General features: G+C 38.8%; 1 long non-coding RNA gene across 1 annotated transcript in view, besides 1 other annotated feature; it reads left to right on the plus strand.

Annotated features, from left to right (window-relative positions):
- Positions 1–18,051, plus strand: part of LINC00693 (long intergenic non-protein coding RNA 693) — a 183,060-nt gene extending 165,009 nt beyond the window's left edge. Inside the window, exons 3-5 of the long non-coding RNA NR_038840.1 lie at positions 16,472–16,682; positions 16,823–16,955; positions 17,064–18,051. This is a non-coding gene — a long non-coding RNA (long intergenic non-protein coding RNA 693). The remainder of the gene's footprint in view (positions 1–16,471; positions 16,683–16,822; positions 16,956–17,063) is intronic.
- Positions 16,373–17,572: an enhancer, noted in NCBI's record as "BRD4-independent group 4 enhancer chr3:28798150-28799349 (GRCh37/hg19 assembly coordinates)". NCBI's record gives its function as "activates an origin of replication core promoter dependent on BRD2, P300/CBP, MED14 and CDK7 cofactors, and independent of BRD4, by STARR-seq in HCT116 cells {active_cell/tissue: HCT116}" and the evidence as "EXISTENCE:reporter gene assay evidence [ECO:0000049][PMID:35650434]".
- Positions 18,052–18,638: the final 587 nt, after the last annotated feature.

Here is an 18,638-nt window from a genome sequence, read left to right on the forward strand (position 1 = left end):
GGATGTGCCACCTAATTGTATCTAGCTGTTTGAATTTCTTTTGCTATTGTTCTTTCTATTGTTTTGGTAAATATAAAGAAAGGTAGTTAGTTGTTTTAATAAAGAGCTCCATTTTATGAAAAAAACCTTTCCTAAGTGAATGAGTAGGTAATAAATTACCTAAGGAATGATTGCGCTATTTATATCTCTATTTTGGTCCATGAAGCCATTGCTAAGCCACTACTGTTCAGCTTGCAGCTGAATATCTGAATTGTAACTACATTTTATAAAGAAATAAATGGCCTCATTATGTAAAGTCATGCCTATAAAATGACAGTAAACTTCATTATAATTAACTTTTGTACTCTGATTAGGAACATATAAACCTGTCAGAGAATTTTTATCCTGAAATCTGTGACCTAAACATTTCATTGTCTGAGCTCAGGGGACAGAACTGGAATCTCTGAAGAATATGGGTTACTCTCTTCTTCACCCATATAAAATGGACATACAGTAGTCTCCCTTTATCTGCAGGGGATACATTCTAAGACCCCCAGTGGATGCCTGGAACTGCAGATAGTAACAAACCCTATACAGTATATACTATGATTTTTCCTATACGTATATACTTATGATAAAGTTTAATTTATAAATTAGGCACAGTAAGAGATTAACAACAATAACTAACCATAAAATAGAACAATCATAACAAAATACTGTAATAAATGTTATGTAAATGTGGCCTTTCTCTCCAAATATCTTACTGTACTATCCACCCATTTTTGGATTGCAGTTGGCAGTGGGTAACTGAAACCATGGAAAGCTAAACCACAAATAGTGGGGGACCACTGTGCTCTTTGCCCCTTGCCAAATTGTCAAGGGAATATAAAGAATAAAGTCTTCAAAGCTCTACAGAACATATATAAATAATCATTTTAATTTAACACTTTCCTTGAGCAGACAAATAGGCCCTGTGATTTGACGGGTTCCTTTTCGTCTCCATTATCTATGATGGTAATGCATAAATCGCACTCTAACGAGCTCATATGTTAATATCTTCGATAGGATGCTTGATAGATCTGGCAGCCTGGATGGATGTGATTTCTAACCAGCTTCATATTCTAGTTGTGTAACAAACTAGAAGGGCGACAGCAATCCAGTTTGGGCTTTTCACTTTGCCAGGTATAGTAATGAGTTCATCTCTACTTTCTCCTGGGAAAGCACTGAGAATTTTAAGAGATAAAGGTGTTTTAAAATGATGATCAGACATAAATTTGAGCCATAATTTAACAAGTTATTACTAGGATGCTTACTAAGTGAAGGACATTTTACTATGTGTTTGGTAGGAGAAATGTTTCCAAATGCCAACAATACTCATTCCCTTTTCTGAAGGAGCTTAAAATATCATCAAGAAAGTAAAGACTTTAAAGTTGCTTAGTGTGGTTATTTCCACAGTTTTGAATAGTAACTAAGGACATACCTGGATGGAGGTATAAATGGCCACCTGAGATTGCCATTTGTTGAATCAATGAACCTGAGTGGGTTGGGTCAGTGGCTGACTCCTAGTTAGTATTAATTAAGTCTTTAAACAAATGGAAAACTTAGAAAACATGAGAGAAGTAGCAGAATGAGATAACTCTCTGAGAGAACAAGACTTTCTAAGGTTGCTCCAAGCACCTGCTCTGGGACTGGTTAAAAGGTGATGGAGCATATGTTTAATATAGACTTTCTGACTAGACTGATCTCACCATAGGTGTTCACGGAGACTGGATGGGAACATGAGAGAAAATAAGGGGAGACTGTAGAGTGTTAGGTCCTTAAGGGGGACAAGATATGTAGAACTGAAGAGAACAAAAGATATGGAATGCAGATGAATGAGAGGTAAGTAGGAATGAGAGGTAGTAGGCAATGAACAAATTATTATTAAAAATAGGGCCCTATTTTCTGGCCCATATTAAGTAAACTACATGTTTTTGGAACTTTCAATTTTGTTGATTCTTTACAATACTGTCTCTCACCTTGTTTTCTAAATATTTATGAAGTTTTGCTTTCAAAGTTAGATTCCTGAGTGTTTTACCTAGACATTATTTATATACATAAGCCCTGTTTACCTAAACAGTGGTTTGGGATAACTTTATCTATTTAAATAGGATAGCATTCTTTTTCTGCAGATGTCAAACATATTATTGGAATCATGAAGGATGTTGGTTTCAGTGCTGTTATAGGAAAGACAACAAAACTCTAATTTTATATAATGAATCAGAATGCAGGCCATTTCATGCAGTAGGTTTTCTAAAAATAAAAATTAGTTAATCCTTTGAATTTTATGGAAAAGTACAAACTTTTTTTGGACTTTATATAATGGAGAAAATCTGCCAATATTTTTCTTCCCTGTTCCTCTCCTACTTTATCAATAAATTAAGATACAATCATATCAACTTTATAAATCACTAACAACAAAAATGATCCCAGCCTATTGATTAATATTGAATATACTGATGAAGCCAATATAAAATAAGAGCACTTTGTGAGCCAAGAGTTTTGTTGAAACTAGAACTTCATGGATAAGTTTGCCAGTCAGAAGTCAGGAGACCTGTTTCTTGATTCTGAGTTTGCTACACACAACTGGGGCTATTGATAAACCATCTTTCTCTCTAGGTCTCTGTATCTGTGTCTGTAAAATTTAGAACTAAAAGTTTGTTGGTTACAAATAATAATAATAACAAATATTTATTGAGCTCTTACTCTCTGTCAGGCACTGTGCTAAGCCCTTTGTTTGTATTATCCCACTTAATTCAAACAATAGCTTCTTTGACGTAAAATTATTATTATCCCAAATTTTCAGCTGTGAAAACAGAGATGCAAAGTGGACTATGGTGTAATATACTAGGCAGTGCACTGAGTGCTGTTCTTGTATCATTGCCCACTTTGGTATAATCCTCACAATAACCTTGAGGTCTACCTCCATTTCAGAGGGTAGGAAATGAAGACTCCAGGAAGGCAAGTGATTTGCCCACCTTTTCTTCATAAGAACACAACAGATCTAGCACAGATGTACAAGTTTCTTGACTCCTAGGCTGACATTTTTACACTATACACTGCTTACATTAAAACCATTGAAATCTGACATTTTCCATGTCTATAATTTTATCTATAGAAGAAGCCTAGGAATTTGGCAACTCACAAGCTGAATCTGGCCCATAGCTGTGTCTTGTTTGCCTGCACAGTAATTTAAAAAGTTTGTCATTGCCAACATTTTAATGTTAGGAAGCTTCCCATAAACAATCTTGATTTTTGTCTTCTCTTGAAAAAATAGGAAGTTCCGGCCCCTTGTAGCCTCATAGCAAGTGATCGCTGGAACTGAGTCCCACACTCTTAGGTTTCACACTGTGCCCACCCAGCCCTCTTCATTTGCCTGGGGGCCCTCCAGGGCCTTTATGTTCATATGACTTGTGGACTACATCGAATAATTCTATTTCTTCAAAAATCATGGCATTTGAAGGTTTGCAGCACAGCACAGCAAGTTGGTTATTCTACTTGGCTTCTTTCTCATGACATGTATGGGAATGAAAGTCATAGTGGTATGGTTGGTTTATCTTTCACAGGGCTTTTACATACTGAACATTTCTCCAATGTAAGTGACATTTCAAATTCAAGAAGGCAAGCCCAGTCATAATTGGCACTGTCACTGTTCGAGTTTGATGTTGGCACCTCATGTGTTTGCCCTGGTTGAGTAATCTGTTTACATCTGGGTAGGCCACACACAGACAAATGTGAACTCTGTTTATATTCATTTCCTCCCTGGGAACTTGGTTCCTGTGAATCGCAGCTTTGGAAGGCCTGATAGATTGGAAATTTACTGGTATAGACTTGGAAGCAAAAACTTTACGTGAATCCGTTTTGGGAGCTGACCTGAGTAACCTTCTTTGGGCTACAGCAAAGGGGACTTTCCCATTGACAGGTCCAGTTGATTAGAACAATTGTATGAATGCCATGCATGAATATAAGATGATCAATGTAATCAAGACACTCAGTAATCCCATGTTACAGATGAGGCAATTGAAACCCAGAATAGAGTTAGCTAGATGAGTGCCTATTATATATCATAAATATGTCTTAGTAATGAGCAGAATTCTCTCTTATTTCCTGGGTGTCTCTCCCAAACATGTAACAACCAGCTCCACTCCCAGCACTCCCAAAGAAAGACAGACTCACCCCTGCCAAACTTCACTGTCTCTGCCTTCTTCATTTCCTGTGAGCATCAGTATGCAAAGGTTCAAGAGGGATAGGATTAAGTTTAGAAGACCAAAAACTCCTGGGTCTGGCCTCTGTCTTACCCTGTGGGTCAACAGCCTCCTAAGGCCTCCTTCCCCAGTTGTGATAATCTGGCAAAATTCTTGCAGTATTGGCATCAGTAAGCTGCATCTTAAATAAAATCTTACATTTAAGACTTTGTTGAGAGCCCCCATTCTTCAGATATAGAGCTAGGAATGCTGGAAGTCATTTAGAGAAAATTGTCTCCTTTTACTCTCCTTTCCTCATCTCCTCCCACCTCCAGCAGTAGGTTACAGGTAAAATTAGGAGAGGAGTAAATGGAAAAAAATGGGAAGGTCTCCAGGAGGTGAATCATTGGCACCATTTATTATCAGGAATACTTGTCTGGAACCTATTTTTGGAAGCATTGGGATACCTAATCCTGGTTTGTCAGAACTGCAAAATATCTCCTTGCAGAGACCATCTAATTTTTTATTCAGAAAATATAGTCACTTTAGTCTCCAGCATTCTGCTGGGCATTATGAAGCTTACAAAAAGAGCATGCAGAAGGGATGGCCTCAGCTTTCAGGGAGTACATACTCTAGTTGCAAAGTCAGAAATGTGTACAACAGTGTTTATGTAAGAGCCTTAGTCTTCTTCGAAGCACCATCAGCATCATAAAAACACTTAACATGATAAATATTCCCGTATCCATTCTTCATTAATAACACCTAGAGCTTCTCAAGGACAAATGTATTTTTGAGGTGAAAGAAAAGGGATGATATAAAACTAAGGTGAAGAGATGTTAAGCTGCCTTAGGAGTAGAGACCGGGCTGATTTAGAAGTGACTTTATAAAAGGTAATCTTTAATATTCAAGTACTTTAGACATTAATGAGACTACCAAGGGGTAATGTTTAATAACTTACTACAGGTTAAATAGCCAATGATAACTTCTATGCAAACTTGAGCACAATTTGGGATAGTATGGTATGTTTTTAATGCGATTCCTAAGAAAGTGCTGAAGTCTTCCGTATGTATGGGTAATATTGTTGGCAACACAAGATACCATTTTTATGCGATAATGGCACTCCTACATGTAAAAATCCCAGAGAGTGAATCAGCCTTATGGAATGTGTTTCCTGTTTTCTATTTTGCCACAGTTTTCTTTCAGTAGACATGTAGCTTTGAAGGTGAGTATAATTAAACATTCCTTGGTATTGCATCTCTCATGCATATATGAGAAAATTTAGCGGCAAATTTCTTCTCTAAAGAATGTGCAAAACACTTTTGAATTGATCAGCTCTTCTAGTACTTTACTCTGAAACTTGGTTGTTCTGGCTCGTGTCTATTTTCAATACATTGTATGTAAATGATGATTTATTTTCTAAGTGAATTTATCTGACTGTCAGATGAAGCATTCTGCGTGGATGGAGGTGGAAGTTAGAGGAAGGTCACGAGAATATGTTCTGTGTGCCTTCACATTTGGTGCTTAGAGGTCTCTGGTTATTATTGTGCTTCCCTTCCATGCCCTTCTTAATTCTGGCTTTTATCCCAGCCATTGTGACAGCTGTTTGTAATTCTGTTGGCAGTTCATTTCTGGATGAATTACACATTGCTCTGTCTGCTTGTCATTGTTGTGGCCTCTTCAAGTTCCCATGTGATGGGAGAACAAAACAGTCTGGGCTCTGTAAAGGACTCGACTTTCTATTCAAATTGGAATTATTTTTAGAAAGCTTCTGTAGAATCTAAAGTTTCCTCAATCAGCAGGATTCATATAAAGCCATATGTTGGTGTGCTTTCCTCAGAAAAAGCCTTAGAAAAGTTCTTTTAGAATCTCACAGCTTGTGGGAGGCTGCATTCTGTGGGCAGGCCTGCCCCACGCACCTGGAGTCACGGCAAGGTTTCTGTGAGGTGCTGAGTGTGTGAGGTCTTCGGTGGTAATTTGCTCTTGAGGCACTAGACTCAACCAACAAGGGCCAAAACTATATTACAGTGAACTCTGTTAGCAGCCAAGTTGAGGATGCAGAGTGATCTGTTTAATCAATACTTTATCTGGATTGTCAGTTGTAAAAGGCTTAGAAATAATGCAACAAAATACTCAACTCTGAAATAACACCGAGTGTCATTTCACCTTTGTTTGATTCAGAAGGTCCTTTAGAATCTTTGTGTCCTGGGGGAGCTAGTTAATAAAGATTCCAGGTTTAGAATGTTTGATAAATTAGCCTTTATTCTAGTTAGGAAGGGAAATAGACAAGTGGAAATGCCATAAAGTCCTCCTGGCCCAAGAGGGAGATGAGAGGCCTAAGCAAAAATAAGGTATTTGCGGTTAGTGGCATTAGTATTACTCATCGCTCACCGCTATTAAGTACCCCATAAATATTTCACTTCTGGAGTGTAAGGTGGGTCAAAGTAGGACCTCTTCTTTACCTATATTGGACCCTCACCTATTAGCACCCTGTTCTGTAATATGCTTTGAGATATTTAATAATTCTATTGATTTGCAGCAAAGGCCCAGGGTTTTTAGGAAAGTTCTCCCAGAAATGGGCCTCACATTGGTCTGTCTAGCTCATGTAGCCCAGTTCACCCCAAACTGGACTGTCACTCAGAAACAGGTCAAGAGAACGTATCTGATTACACAGGATTTCATGTCCCAGTGGCCTGGAGGGCATAGCATGTGCCACAGGACTGATGTTCTGACTTGGTGCCCTGTCTCAGGGCCAGCTCTCATTTTAGGCTTCCAGGTTCATCCTTCAAAGGGTTGGAAACAGCATCACAATTTTTTTATCTTAGGAGATTTCTCACCCTTGACAAGCCCGCAGGACAAACAGACCTGACCTCCATGGCCCCTTGTCTCTCAGCCCTGGTTAAATGAATATTCACTCTGTGGAGCATCACACCAGGCATCGTGTAAAATTATAGAAGAAGGAGGTGCTGCACTCCTGGCCTTTGAGCATCTTATCAACTTACAGGAAAGACAAAACCAGCACACAACAAAATATATAAAAACTTAAATGTCAGCTGCATATATATATATATATATATAGTTATTTATAAATTCAATTGACATAGACTGGAAATACATATTTATGTATACATATATCTATATGTACATAAAGTTAAGGCATTTCTGAAATGACTGAAGTGACTAGAATTAGAAAAAGGTAGTTTTCTATTGGCTTAGTTTTAGTCCCCCAGAAGTGACCCTGAGACAAGGACTTGAGAGCAAGTAGTTTATTTGGGAGGTATAGCAAATGCCAGTAAGAAGAGAGGGAAAGAATGACAGGAAAAGTAAGGCAGACAACAAAGGGTATGATATGGAGCCAGCTATGACTGTGCACAGCTAGAGCTAAAGCCTATGAAAAAATTCTGGGAAATAATTTAGAACATTTGCCCTGGACTCCTATCAGTAACTGGTTGAGGACTCCTCTCAAGGTGAGTTAATACCCAGATATTCATAGATCACCATACCTGGACAGAATAGTTTCTCGAGAAACAAAACAAAACAAACCTCATGCAAAGAGATGCAGTTAATGGCAGTTTCAAGGCTGGTCTTTGTAAGACCTGAGGGATACAGTAAGGGACCAACATTCTCTGCTACATTCACACATATTAGTGAGAAAAATGGTTTGGAAAGGAGAAAGGGATTTTGAACATTTAGGAAGCCAGTGTCTATAAAGACCCAAAAGTAATGATAGATAACATTCAAACCAGTACAAAAAGCATCCTTATGCAAGTTCCTCAAAGGAGTATGCCTCAAGTGGCATAGGGAAAAAGATCTGGGAGACCAGTTGAACCAGACAGAAAACGAGGAGCAACTTGGGGTACAAGGATTCAGATTGTGATGGCTGCCCTAAGTTAGGATTCCCTGTGATCCACTAGACATGTTTCAGCTGCAAACCATACTGGGAATAGTGGGTAGTTTAGCCACATTGTGGATTATGAAGCATCTACTTTATCTGTGGCATGAAGTCCTGACACATCACAGGAAACATTTCAGAAGAATGAGAGCTGGGTGCTATTGGAGATGCAATGGGTCAGCATGTCCTTCCTTCAACTCACCTAGGTCAAAGAGGTGGGCAGTTGCCAACAAGCACTGGAGGTTTTATACTAGGTCTCCTGTATTTTTAAAGGATAAGACTGACAGCACTGGGATGGTGGGCATGGGGCTCATGATGATTAGTAGTACCTCTAAAGTGGATCTGATGTAATATAGTCTTCTCTTGAATTGCATTGTATGTATAGATCTTCTCTAAGGAGCTGGTAGATGGGAAGTTAAGACTGGCAAAGACAGAAACACTGCAGAGGGCTCTTGTTCATCTGACACTGGTTAGTTATTGACATATTGCTACAGAAGGCCTGTAGCCTAGGCTTTAGCAAATGCCTCCTACAAGGACTCCTGTGTGTCGATCTTTGTTAATGGAAATGTCTATGTGTTTTATGTAACTTTTAGCTGCCCTGGCAGATGTGCCTAGGAATGAGCTCTCTGAGAATGCATCTCAGGGTTAATTATTCTTTAATATGTAAAATCATACTAATATGGTTTGGATGTGTCCCCACACAAATCTCATCTTGAATTGTAGTTCCCATAATCCCCAAGTGTTGTGAGAAGGACCCAGTGGGAAGTAATTTAATCTTGGGGGCAGTTACCCTCTTGCTGTTCTCTTGTTAATGAATGAGTTCTCTTGAGATCTGATGGTTTTATAAGGGGCTTTTCCCCACTTTGCTTGGCATTTCTGACTCCTGCTGCCATGTGAAGGAAAGTGTGTTTGCTTCCCCTTCTGGGATCATTTTAAGTTTCCTGAGGCCTCCCCAGCCATGTGCAACTGCGAGTCAACTGAACTCCTTTCCTTCATAAATTATCTAGTCTTGGATATTTCTTCATAGCAATGTGAGAACAGACTAATACAGTAAATTGGTGCTACAGAGAGTAGGTGTTGCTATAAAGATACCCAAAAATGTGGAATCCACTTTGGAATTGGGTAACAGGCAGAGGTTGGAACAGTTTGGAGGACTCAGAGGAAGACAGGAATATGTGGAAAAGTTTGGAACTTCCTAGAGACTGGTTGAATGGCTTTCACCAAAATGCTGATAATGATATGGACAATGAAGTCTAGGCTGAATTGGTCTCAGATGGAGATGAAGAATCTTGGGAACTGGAGCAAAGGTTACTCTTGGTATACTTTAGCAAAGAGACTGATGGCATTTTACACCTGCCCTAGAAATCTGTGGAACTTTGAACTTGAGGGAAATGATCTGAAATAGGAATGTGCATTTAAAAGGAAAGCAGAGCATAAAAGTTTGAAAAATTTGAGCCTGATAATGCAATAGAAAAAATATATTTTCTTGAGAGAAAGTCAAGCTGGCTGTAGAAATTTGCACAAGTAATGAGGAACCAAATGTTAATCACCAAGACAATAGGAAAAATGTCTCCAGGGCGTATCAGAGATCTTTATGGCAGCCCCTCCCATCACAGGCCCAGAGGCTATTGAATAGGAGCTTACATGAAACGATCTCTAAAATATAGTAAACTTTCACTATCCAGTATGCTAGTACAAGTTTACTGTACCTGCACACATTGCTATTTAAGCTCAAATTAATTAAGATTAAGTATAATTTAAAATTTAGTTTCTTAATCATGGTAGCTTCATTTCAGGAACTCAAAGCTACCAGTGGCTAGTGACTTCTATATTAGACAGCACAGAACATTTCCATCATGGCATGAAGCTCTGCAATAGAACTATAGTGAATGAGCAAAGCGTAACTCAAAAACCTCATTCCCAACACATAAACAAGTCTACAAAATAACCGGCTAGCGTCATGATGACAGGATCAAGTCCACATATAACAATACCACTAACCTTAAATGTAAATGGGCTAAATGCTCCAATTAAAAGACACAAAATGGCAATTTAAATAAAGAACCAAGATCCATCAGTATGCTGTCTTCAAGAGACCCATTTCACATGCAAAGACACACATAGGCTCCAAAATAAAGGGATGGAGGAAAATTTATGAAGCAAATGGAAAACAGAAAAAAACAAGGACTGCCATCCTAATTACTGGCAAAATAGATTTTAAACTACCAAAGATCAAAAAAGGCAAGGGCATTACATAATGGTAAAGGGTTCAATTTAACAAGAAGAGCTAACTATCCTAAATATATATGCACCCAACACAGGAGCCCTCAGATTCACAAAGTAAGTTCTTAGAGACCTTCAAAGAGATTTAGACTCCCACACAGTAGTAGTGGGAGACTTTAACACCCCACTGACGGTATTAGATAGATCACAGAGACAGAAAATTAACAAAGATATTCAGGACCCAAACTCAGCTCTCCATTAGGTGGACCTGATAGATATCTACAGAACTCTTCACCCCCAAAAAACAGAATATACATTCTTCTCATCACTGCATGACTCTTACTCTAAAACTGACCACATAATCGGAACTAAAACTCTCCTCAGCAAATGTAAAAGAACTGAAATCATAACAAACCATCTCTCAGACCACAGTGCAATCAAATTATAACTCAAGATTAAGTAATTCACTCAAAACCACACGCCTATGTGGAAATTGAACAACCTGCTCCTGAATGACTCCTAGGTAAATAATGAAATTAAGGCAGAAATAAAGAAGTTCTTTGAAACTACTGAGAACAAAGATACAATCTACCATAATCTCTGGATGCAGCCAAGGCAGTGTTAAGAGGGAAATTTATAGCTCTAAATGCCCACATCCAAAAGCTAGAAAGATCTCAAGTTAACAACCTAAAATCACTTAAAACAACTAGAGAACCAAGAGGAAACAAACCACAAGGCTAGAAAAAAAAACAAGAAATAACCAAGATCAGAGCTGAACTGAAGAATCTAGAAACATGAAAAACCCTTCAAAAAATCGATGAATCCAGGAGCTGGGTTTTGGAAAAAATATTAATAAAATAGATAGACCTCTAGCTAGACTAATAAAGAAGAAAAGAAAGAAAAATCAAATAAACACAATCAGAAATGATAAGGGGGATCTCCCCACTGACCGCACAGAAATACAAACAGTCATCAAAAAATACTATAAACACCTCTATGCACATAAACTAGAAAATCTAGAAGAAATGGATAAATTCCTGGACATATATATCCTCTCAAGACTGAACCAGGAAGGAATTGAATCCCTGAATAGACCAATAATGAGTTCTGAAAATTGAGGCAGTAATAAATAGGCTATTGACTGAAAAAAGCCCAGGGCCAGATGGATTCACAGCTGAATTCTGCCAGAGGTACAAAGAAGAGCGGATACCATTCCTATAGAAACTATTCCAAAACACTGAAAAAGAGGGACTCCTCTCTAACTCATTCTATGAGGCCAGTATCATCCTGATACCAAAACCTGCCAGAAATACAACAAAAAAATAGAACACTTTAGGCCAATATCCTTAATGAATATCGATGTGAAAATTGTCAACAAAATACTAGCAAACTGAATCCAGCAGCACATCAAAAAGCTTATCCACCACAATCAAGTAGGCTTCATCCCGGGGTTGCAAGGTTAGTTCAACATAGGCAAATCAATAAATATGACTCATCACATAAACAGAGCTAAAGACAAAAACCACATGATTATGTAAATAGATGCATAAAAGGCCTTTGATAAAAATTAACATCCCTTCATTTTAAAAACTCTTAATAAACTAGGTATTGAAAGAACATACCTCTAAATAATAAAAGCCATATATGACAAACCCACAGCCAATATCATACTGAATGGGCAAAAGCTGGAAGCATTCCCCTTGAAAACCAGCACAAGACAAGTTTGCCCTATCTCACCAGTCCTATTCAAGATAGTATTGGAAGTTCTGGCCAGGGGAATCAGGCAAGAGAAAGAAATAAAGGACATTCAAATAGGAAGAGAGGAAGCCAAACTACCTTTGTTTGCAGATGATACGATCCTGTATCTGGAAAACCCCATCTTCTCAGCCCAAGAGCTGCTTAGATGATAAGCAACTTGGCAAACCCTCAGGATACAAAAGTCAATGTGAAAAAGTCACTAGCATTTCTATACACCAACAACAGATAAGCCAAGAACCAAATCACAGGTGATCCATTTACAACTGCTGCAAAAAGAATAAAATTCCTAGGAATACAGCTAACAAGGGAATTGAAGGACCTCTTCAAGGAGAACTACAAACCACTGCTCAAAGAAATCAGAGAGGACAGAACAAATGGAAAATCATTAATTCCATGTTCATGGATAGGAAGAATTAATATTGTGAAAATGGCCATACTGCCAAAAGCACTTTATAGATTCAGTGCTATTCCCATTAAACTACCATTGACATTCTTCACAAAATTAGAAAAAAACTATTTGGAAATGCATACAGAACCAAAAAGAGCCTAAATAATCAAGGCAGTTCTAAGCAAAAAGAACAAAGCTGAAGGCATCACACTACCCGACTTCAAAGTATATTACAGGGCTGCAGTAACCAAAACAGCATGGTACTTGTATAAGAACAGACACATAGACCAATGGAACAGAATAGAGAACCCAGAAATAAGACTACATACCTACAACCATCTGATCTTCAACAAACCTGACAAAAACAAGCAATGGGGAAAGGATTTCCTATTCAATAAACAGTGCTGGGAGAACTGGCTAGCCATATGCGGAAAATTGAAATTGGACCCCTTCCTTACACAATATGCAAAAATCAACTCAAGATGAATTAAAGAGTTAAATGTAAAACCCACAACTATAAAAACCCTAGATGAAAACCTAGGCAATACAATTCAGGTCATAGGCACAGGCTAAGATTTCATGATGAAGACATCAAAAGCAATTGCAACAAAAGGAAAAATTGGCAAATGGGATGTAATTAAACTAAAGAGCTTCTGCACAGCAAAAGAAATCATCAATAAATTAAACAGATAACCTGCAGAATGGGAGAAAATTTTGCGACATATCCGTCTCATAAACATCTAATATCCAGCATGTATAAGGAACTTAAACAAATTTACAAGAAGATAACAACCTCATTAAAAGTGGGCAAAGGACATGAACAGATACGTCTCAAAAAAAGACATACATGTGGCCAACTAACATATGAAAAAAAAGCTCAATATCACTGATCATTAGAGAAATGCAAATCAAAACCACAATGAGATGCCATCTCACACCAGTCAGAATGGCTATTATTATTAGGTTGGTGCAAAAGTAATTGTGGCTTTTGTCATCAAAATTAATGGCAAAAAAACACAGTTACTTTTGTACCAACCTTCTAAAAAGTCAAAAAACAACACATGCTGGCGATGTTGTGGAGAAAAACAAAATGCTTTTACACTGTTGGTGGGAGTGTAAATTAGCTAAATCATTATAGAAAACAGTGTGGTGATTCCTGAAAGACCTAGAAGCAGAAATATCTTTCAACCCAGCAATCCCATTACTGAGTATATACCCAAAGTAATATAAATTGTTGTATTATAAAGATACATGTGCATGTATAGTCATTGCTGCACTATTCACGATAGCACAGACATGGAATCAGCCTAAATGCCCATCAGTGATAGACTAGATAAAGAAAATGTGGCACATATACCCCATGGAATACTATGCAGCCATAAAAAGGAATGAGATAATTTCCTTCTTGGGGGCATAGATGGATTTGGAAGCTGTTATCCTCAGCAAACTATCATAGGAACAGAAAACCAAATACCCTGTGTTTTCACTTATAAGTGGGAGCTGAAAGATGACAACACATGGACACATGAGGGCGGGAAACACACACTGGGGCCTGTTGGAGAGTGGAGGTGGGAGGAGGGAGAACATCAGGTAGAATAGCTAACACATGCTGGGCTTAATACCTTGGTGATGGGATGATCTGTGCAGCAAACCACAGTGGCACACTTTTACCTATATAACAAACCTGCATATCCTGCATACATATCCCTGAACTTAAAATGAAAGAAAAAAAAAAACCTAGTCTCCAAACCTAGCTCTGCGCTTTATTAGTCATGCATCCATAGGGAGATTACTTAACATCTCTGTGCCTCTGTTGCTGTGTGAAATAGGGATAGTCAAGATAGCACATCACACGGTTCAGGTGAGAATTAAATGCAACATTATTTATAAAGTTATTAATGCATTATCTGGCACATTGTGAATTCTCAATACGTGTTCCTAAAATGGGAGAGCGTCTCTGTCTTAGTCCTTTTGTGTTGCTATAAAGGAATACTCAAGAATGGTTAATTTATGAAGAAAAAAAGGTTTATTTAGATCACAATTCTCATGGCTGGAAGGTTAAAGATTGGACATCTTCATCTGGTAAGGGCCTCAGGCTGCTTTCACTCATAGCGGAAGGCAAAGGGGAGCCACATGTGCAGAGATCACATAGTGAGAGAGGAAGCAAGGGAGAGGGAAAGGTGCCAGGCCCTTTTAAACAACCAGCTCTTTCAGGAACTAGTGGAGCCCAAAAGAGGGCAGTAATCTACTCATGAAGGATCCTCTCTCTTGACCCATACACCTCACCCCAGGCCCCATCTCCAACATTGGGGATCAAATTTCAGCATGAAGTTTGGAGGGTACAAATATCCAAATCACTGTAGTCTCTTAGCTCCAACATTATGTGAGTTTCTAAATGCTGTGCCATATCTGTTTTCTCCCTGATGTTGATAATTTATATTTGGAGCACACCATGGAGTCAGGGAGTCCTACAATAACTCACAAGGTCATTTTATTTAACATACATTTATACAACTCATACCATGTGCCAGGGTCTAACGTAAGGACTGGACACATATTTATTTCATCTTCCACACAAGCCTATGTGGTAGGTATTCTACACAAAAGCCTACACATTTCTATACCTGCCACATTTTGTGACTTATCTTGATAAGTCCTGTGGGAGTGGGGAGGGGAGAATAAAGATGAAAGAGTAAGATTCTGCCCTTAAGGCAGAGGATAGAGAAACAAATAATCGTAGAGGGTATATTATCTCAGGCTATTTTGCGTGCATTATTTAATTTCAAGCAACAACTCTGTGAGATAGGTGATATTCCCATTATATAGATGTGGAAATAAACTAAAGAGGTTTTATAACTAGCTCAACATTGCACAGCTAGTTCATTGTGAGAAATGGGATTCTAACTTGGGCCTAATTCCAAATCCCATACACTTTTCACTGCATCTTGATGTCTGTTAATAGGAAAGATAATATGCATATATAAATATAAGGTATAAATAAAATAATATAGATAAATTGTCCTAGGAGTTAAGGGGAGTAAGGGATTACTCCTAGCCAAGAGGGTCATGAGAACCTTCATTGAAGAGGGATTATTTGAAATAGGACCTAAAAGTGAACAGGATGTGGGCTGGTGGGATTGGGGGAAGGAGATTCCAGGTAGACGGAAGAGCACAAGCAAAGGCTATGATCGGATCAGGATAACATGTGGAGTTGGTAGTGAAGTACCAAGGAGGGGGACCTGCCTGGGTGGGATACAGTATCTTTCACCAACATTGTTTAGAATTGCCAAAGCGTGGTCATAACAAAGAGCAGTCTGACTTTGTTTAAAGGCAGTGTTATTACTGCCTTTAAATTCTACAGATAATGTGCCTGCTTTATTATGTGTACCCAGGACAGACCACTCCTGTCAACCTCTATCCTTTGGTATGCCTTTGGGTTTGTTGGAATAAGTTTCTCTTGAATTCTGTTCTCTATATGTCTTTCTTGGTAGCACTCCAATTTCTGCGATTTCCAGCCTGTGTTATTCCCAGCCTGTGTTATTTCTGGCTTGTATTCTTCACTATGTGATTTTTACCCTGTGTTCCAGGAAGACAGGTTCTTTCAGGGTCAAAGAGGTAGCCCTAGGCTTTCTATAGGTTTTGGAAAAGAAGGGTCTTAAGTGGAGCCAGGTGTTTCTCATATTCCAGGTCTGGAGTTCTTCTGTCTCAGGCAGGAAGCCTGGCTGAAATAAAAACTTTCTTCAGGATCTGAGCAATACCCTAAAGTCCACAAGCAATGCTAGATTGAACTAAATGACATGGGCCATGGAAGAATCTTCTTAGAATTCTTGTCACGTGGTGGGAAGTTAAGAGTGGGCTGACTTGAACATTGAAACCGTTAAAGGGAAGACCATGTGGTTGATACCCTCCCTACCCTCATCCCCTGGCCTTTCCTTGACTACCACCCTGGGGCAAAGGAAGAAGGAGGATCTCCTGCTAATTTTCAACTGCGTTTTGCTCTCTGTTATGTAGTATTTCAGTGACATCATCCACTCAGGAGAGTTGGGGCGAGGCTGGCTGAGGTTCTCAAGGAGCTGAGTTTTGAGTTCAGGTGCTCGTGTAGCAGTGGAATGATGCCTCCTGACCTTTCAGACCTTTGAGACCTCTGGGCGGTCTTAGAAATCACTTCAAGCCTCCAGTCCAGGATACGACTGCCTAGGGGAATTCCAGGGAAAGGTGGCAGGTAGAGTATCCTTTCTGAGTTTTATTCTCTCGTCCTCCTTTCCCTTCTTTCTATGTGTCTGTGTTGCTCCGTTGTGTCTCCTCCTCAAGATTCCAAAGAACATTAATGCCAAGGTATTTATTTTATGTTCTTGTCAACAGAGATGCCATGGACTACAAGGTGATGAATACCACTATGAGCTCACTACAAGATCTCAAAGATTTCAAGCCACTGGCTGTTACAAAGCATAAAGCCACCCTTCTGGAGCAGCGGCGGGAGGCAGGCTGGGAGGAGGTAAGGAATCATCCACTCTTCCCTCTACCCCTTGACTCCATCAACCTTTAGCTGTCAGATTGTTTGGGCTCATGCCTGATGGGCTTTTTCCCATGTGTTCTTCCACAGGCCCCAAGTTTTGGCCAGACGATAGACCACCTCCTTAGGTGTCCGGGGAGCTGCTGAAACATAATGAGGAAGATGCTGCTGATCCAAAGGATAAAAACACAGAAACTAGAACCAAGAAGCACCTAAAGTGGACTCATGCCCAGCATCCCTGCAGACTGACTTTCTCTGAGCTATAGTTCTGCATTGGACTGTTTTTCCTTTGCTATCACCTGCCCAACACACAATCCTGGATGCTTTTGATTGGTTGGATTTCTTTTTTTTTTTTCCTGCCTTTTCTTTTTCTTTCCTTGACCCTGGGAATTATAAACGAGAAATTGCTTTAAAAAGTATTGTTCTGTGCTAAAATTAGCCTTGTTTATGAACAAGTTTTATCCCTAGGGATTTCCTGAATTGCAATCCCAGATTACCTTGTAAATGGGGCTGTGTTGTTTGATTTGTATAGTACTGATCTGTAGGTTAAAATACGTTTCCTTTCTTTTGTTTCATTCTTTTTTTAAAAGTCTGGATCCAGGTAATGGCCTGAGTCACATTTGCTTAGCTACTGAAGCGATCTCAATATGTTATCGCTTAGAGTTGAAACATAATCAAACATACGTTATACCTGGGGCTCTTGCACACTATTTGATATATATATGTTACTCTACAAAGAAACACAAACCTTGTATGTTGAAATGTAATTCCTGTTTGATCCTGCAGCTAGAATGCTAAAGAAATTGCAAATATCAAAAGTGACTTCAAATACCCTGAATATAAGCTAGTCAACAGTAAGTGGATGGTTCCAGAATACCATATTCTAAGACAAAGCAGGAATTAGAGATCAACTGACCTCATCCATAATGTTGCTCAGGTCTGTCTGTGGATCTGTCCATTTTGGAGTAAAAAACAAGGCATGCTTCTGTGATTGTGTTTATGAAAACTGTAGTATTTCAGATTTATGTTTTGCAATTGTGCCTGCCTTGCAATAAAACACCTTCAGTTGACTCAGCAATAAGGTCTCTGTCAATTTCCTGCAAAACTGTGTCCTTATTGGCTTTCTAAAAAAGTCCAGTGTAGACCTATCAGTGGTGACCTGCTAGACATTTCAGCTGGATCTAGCATTATTGCTCTTTCAGAAATAGCACTAGAGCTGTCCATTGTCTACACATGGGGTCAGAGTTGTATGGTCAGATTCTCAATTCTTCATATTACCATCAGCTACAGAAATCTCTAGTCACAGCCTAACCCTGTTACATATATGTGCTGCCATCTGCCATTGTGTTCTAACTCTGGAGTCCCTATTTATTTCTGAGATTTTAGGACAAGACAAAAATCCTCTGGACCTCAGTGTCCTCATATACAAAATGGGAATAATGATACTTCCTATGATTGTGGTGATAAGTGCCTGTAAAAGGACATCACATGGATGGTACTTTGCACGTTGTAAATTCATTGGGATGTGGCAATGTTCAATAAATGGTGGTTATTTTATTTGTTAATAAAGAATTGAATGAATTTCTAAATCTCTTACAGTTGACCTTTAGTTGAGAACACTGTGTAACTTCTGAATAGTTTCTTAGCCCTCTTTACTTAAAGCCC

The sequence above is a fragment of the Homo sapiens genome, chromosome 3 (genome assembly GCF_000001405.40).
Source record: "Homo sapiens chromosome 3, GRCh38.p14 Primary Assembly".
Lineage (NCBI taxonomy): Eukaryota > Metazoa > Chordata > Mammalia > Primates > Hominidae > Homo > Homo sapiens.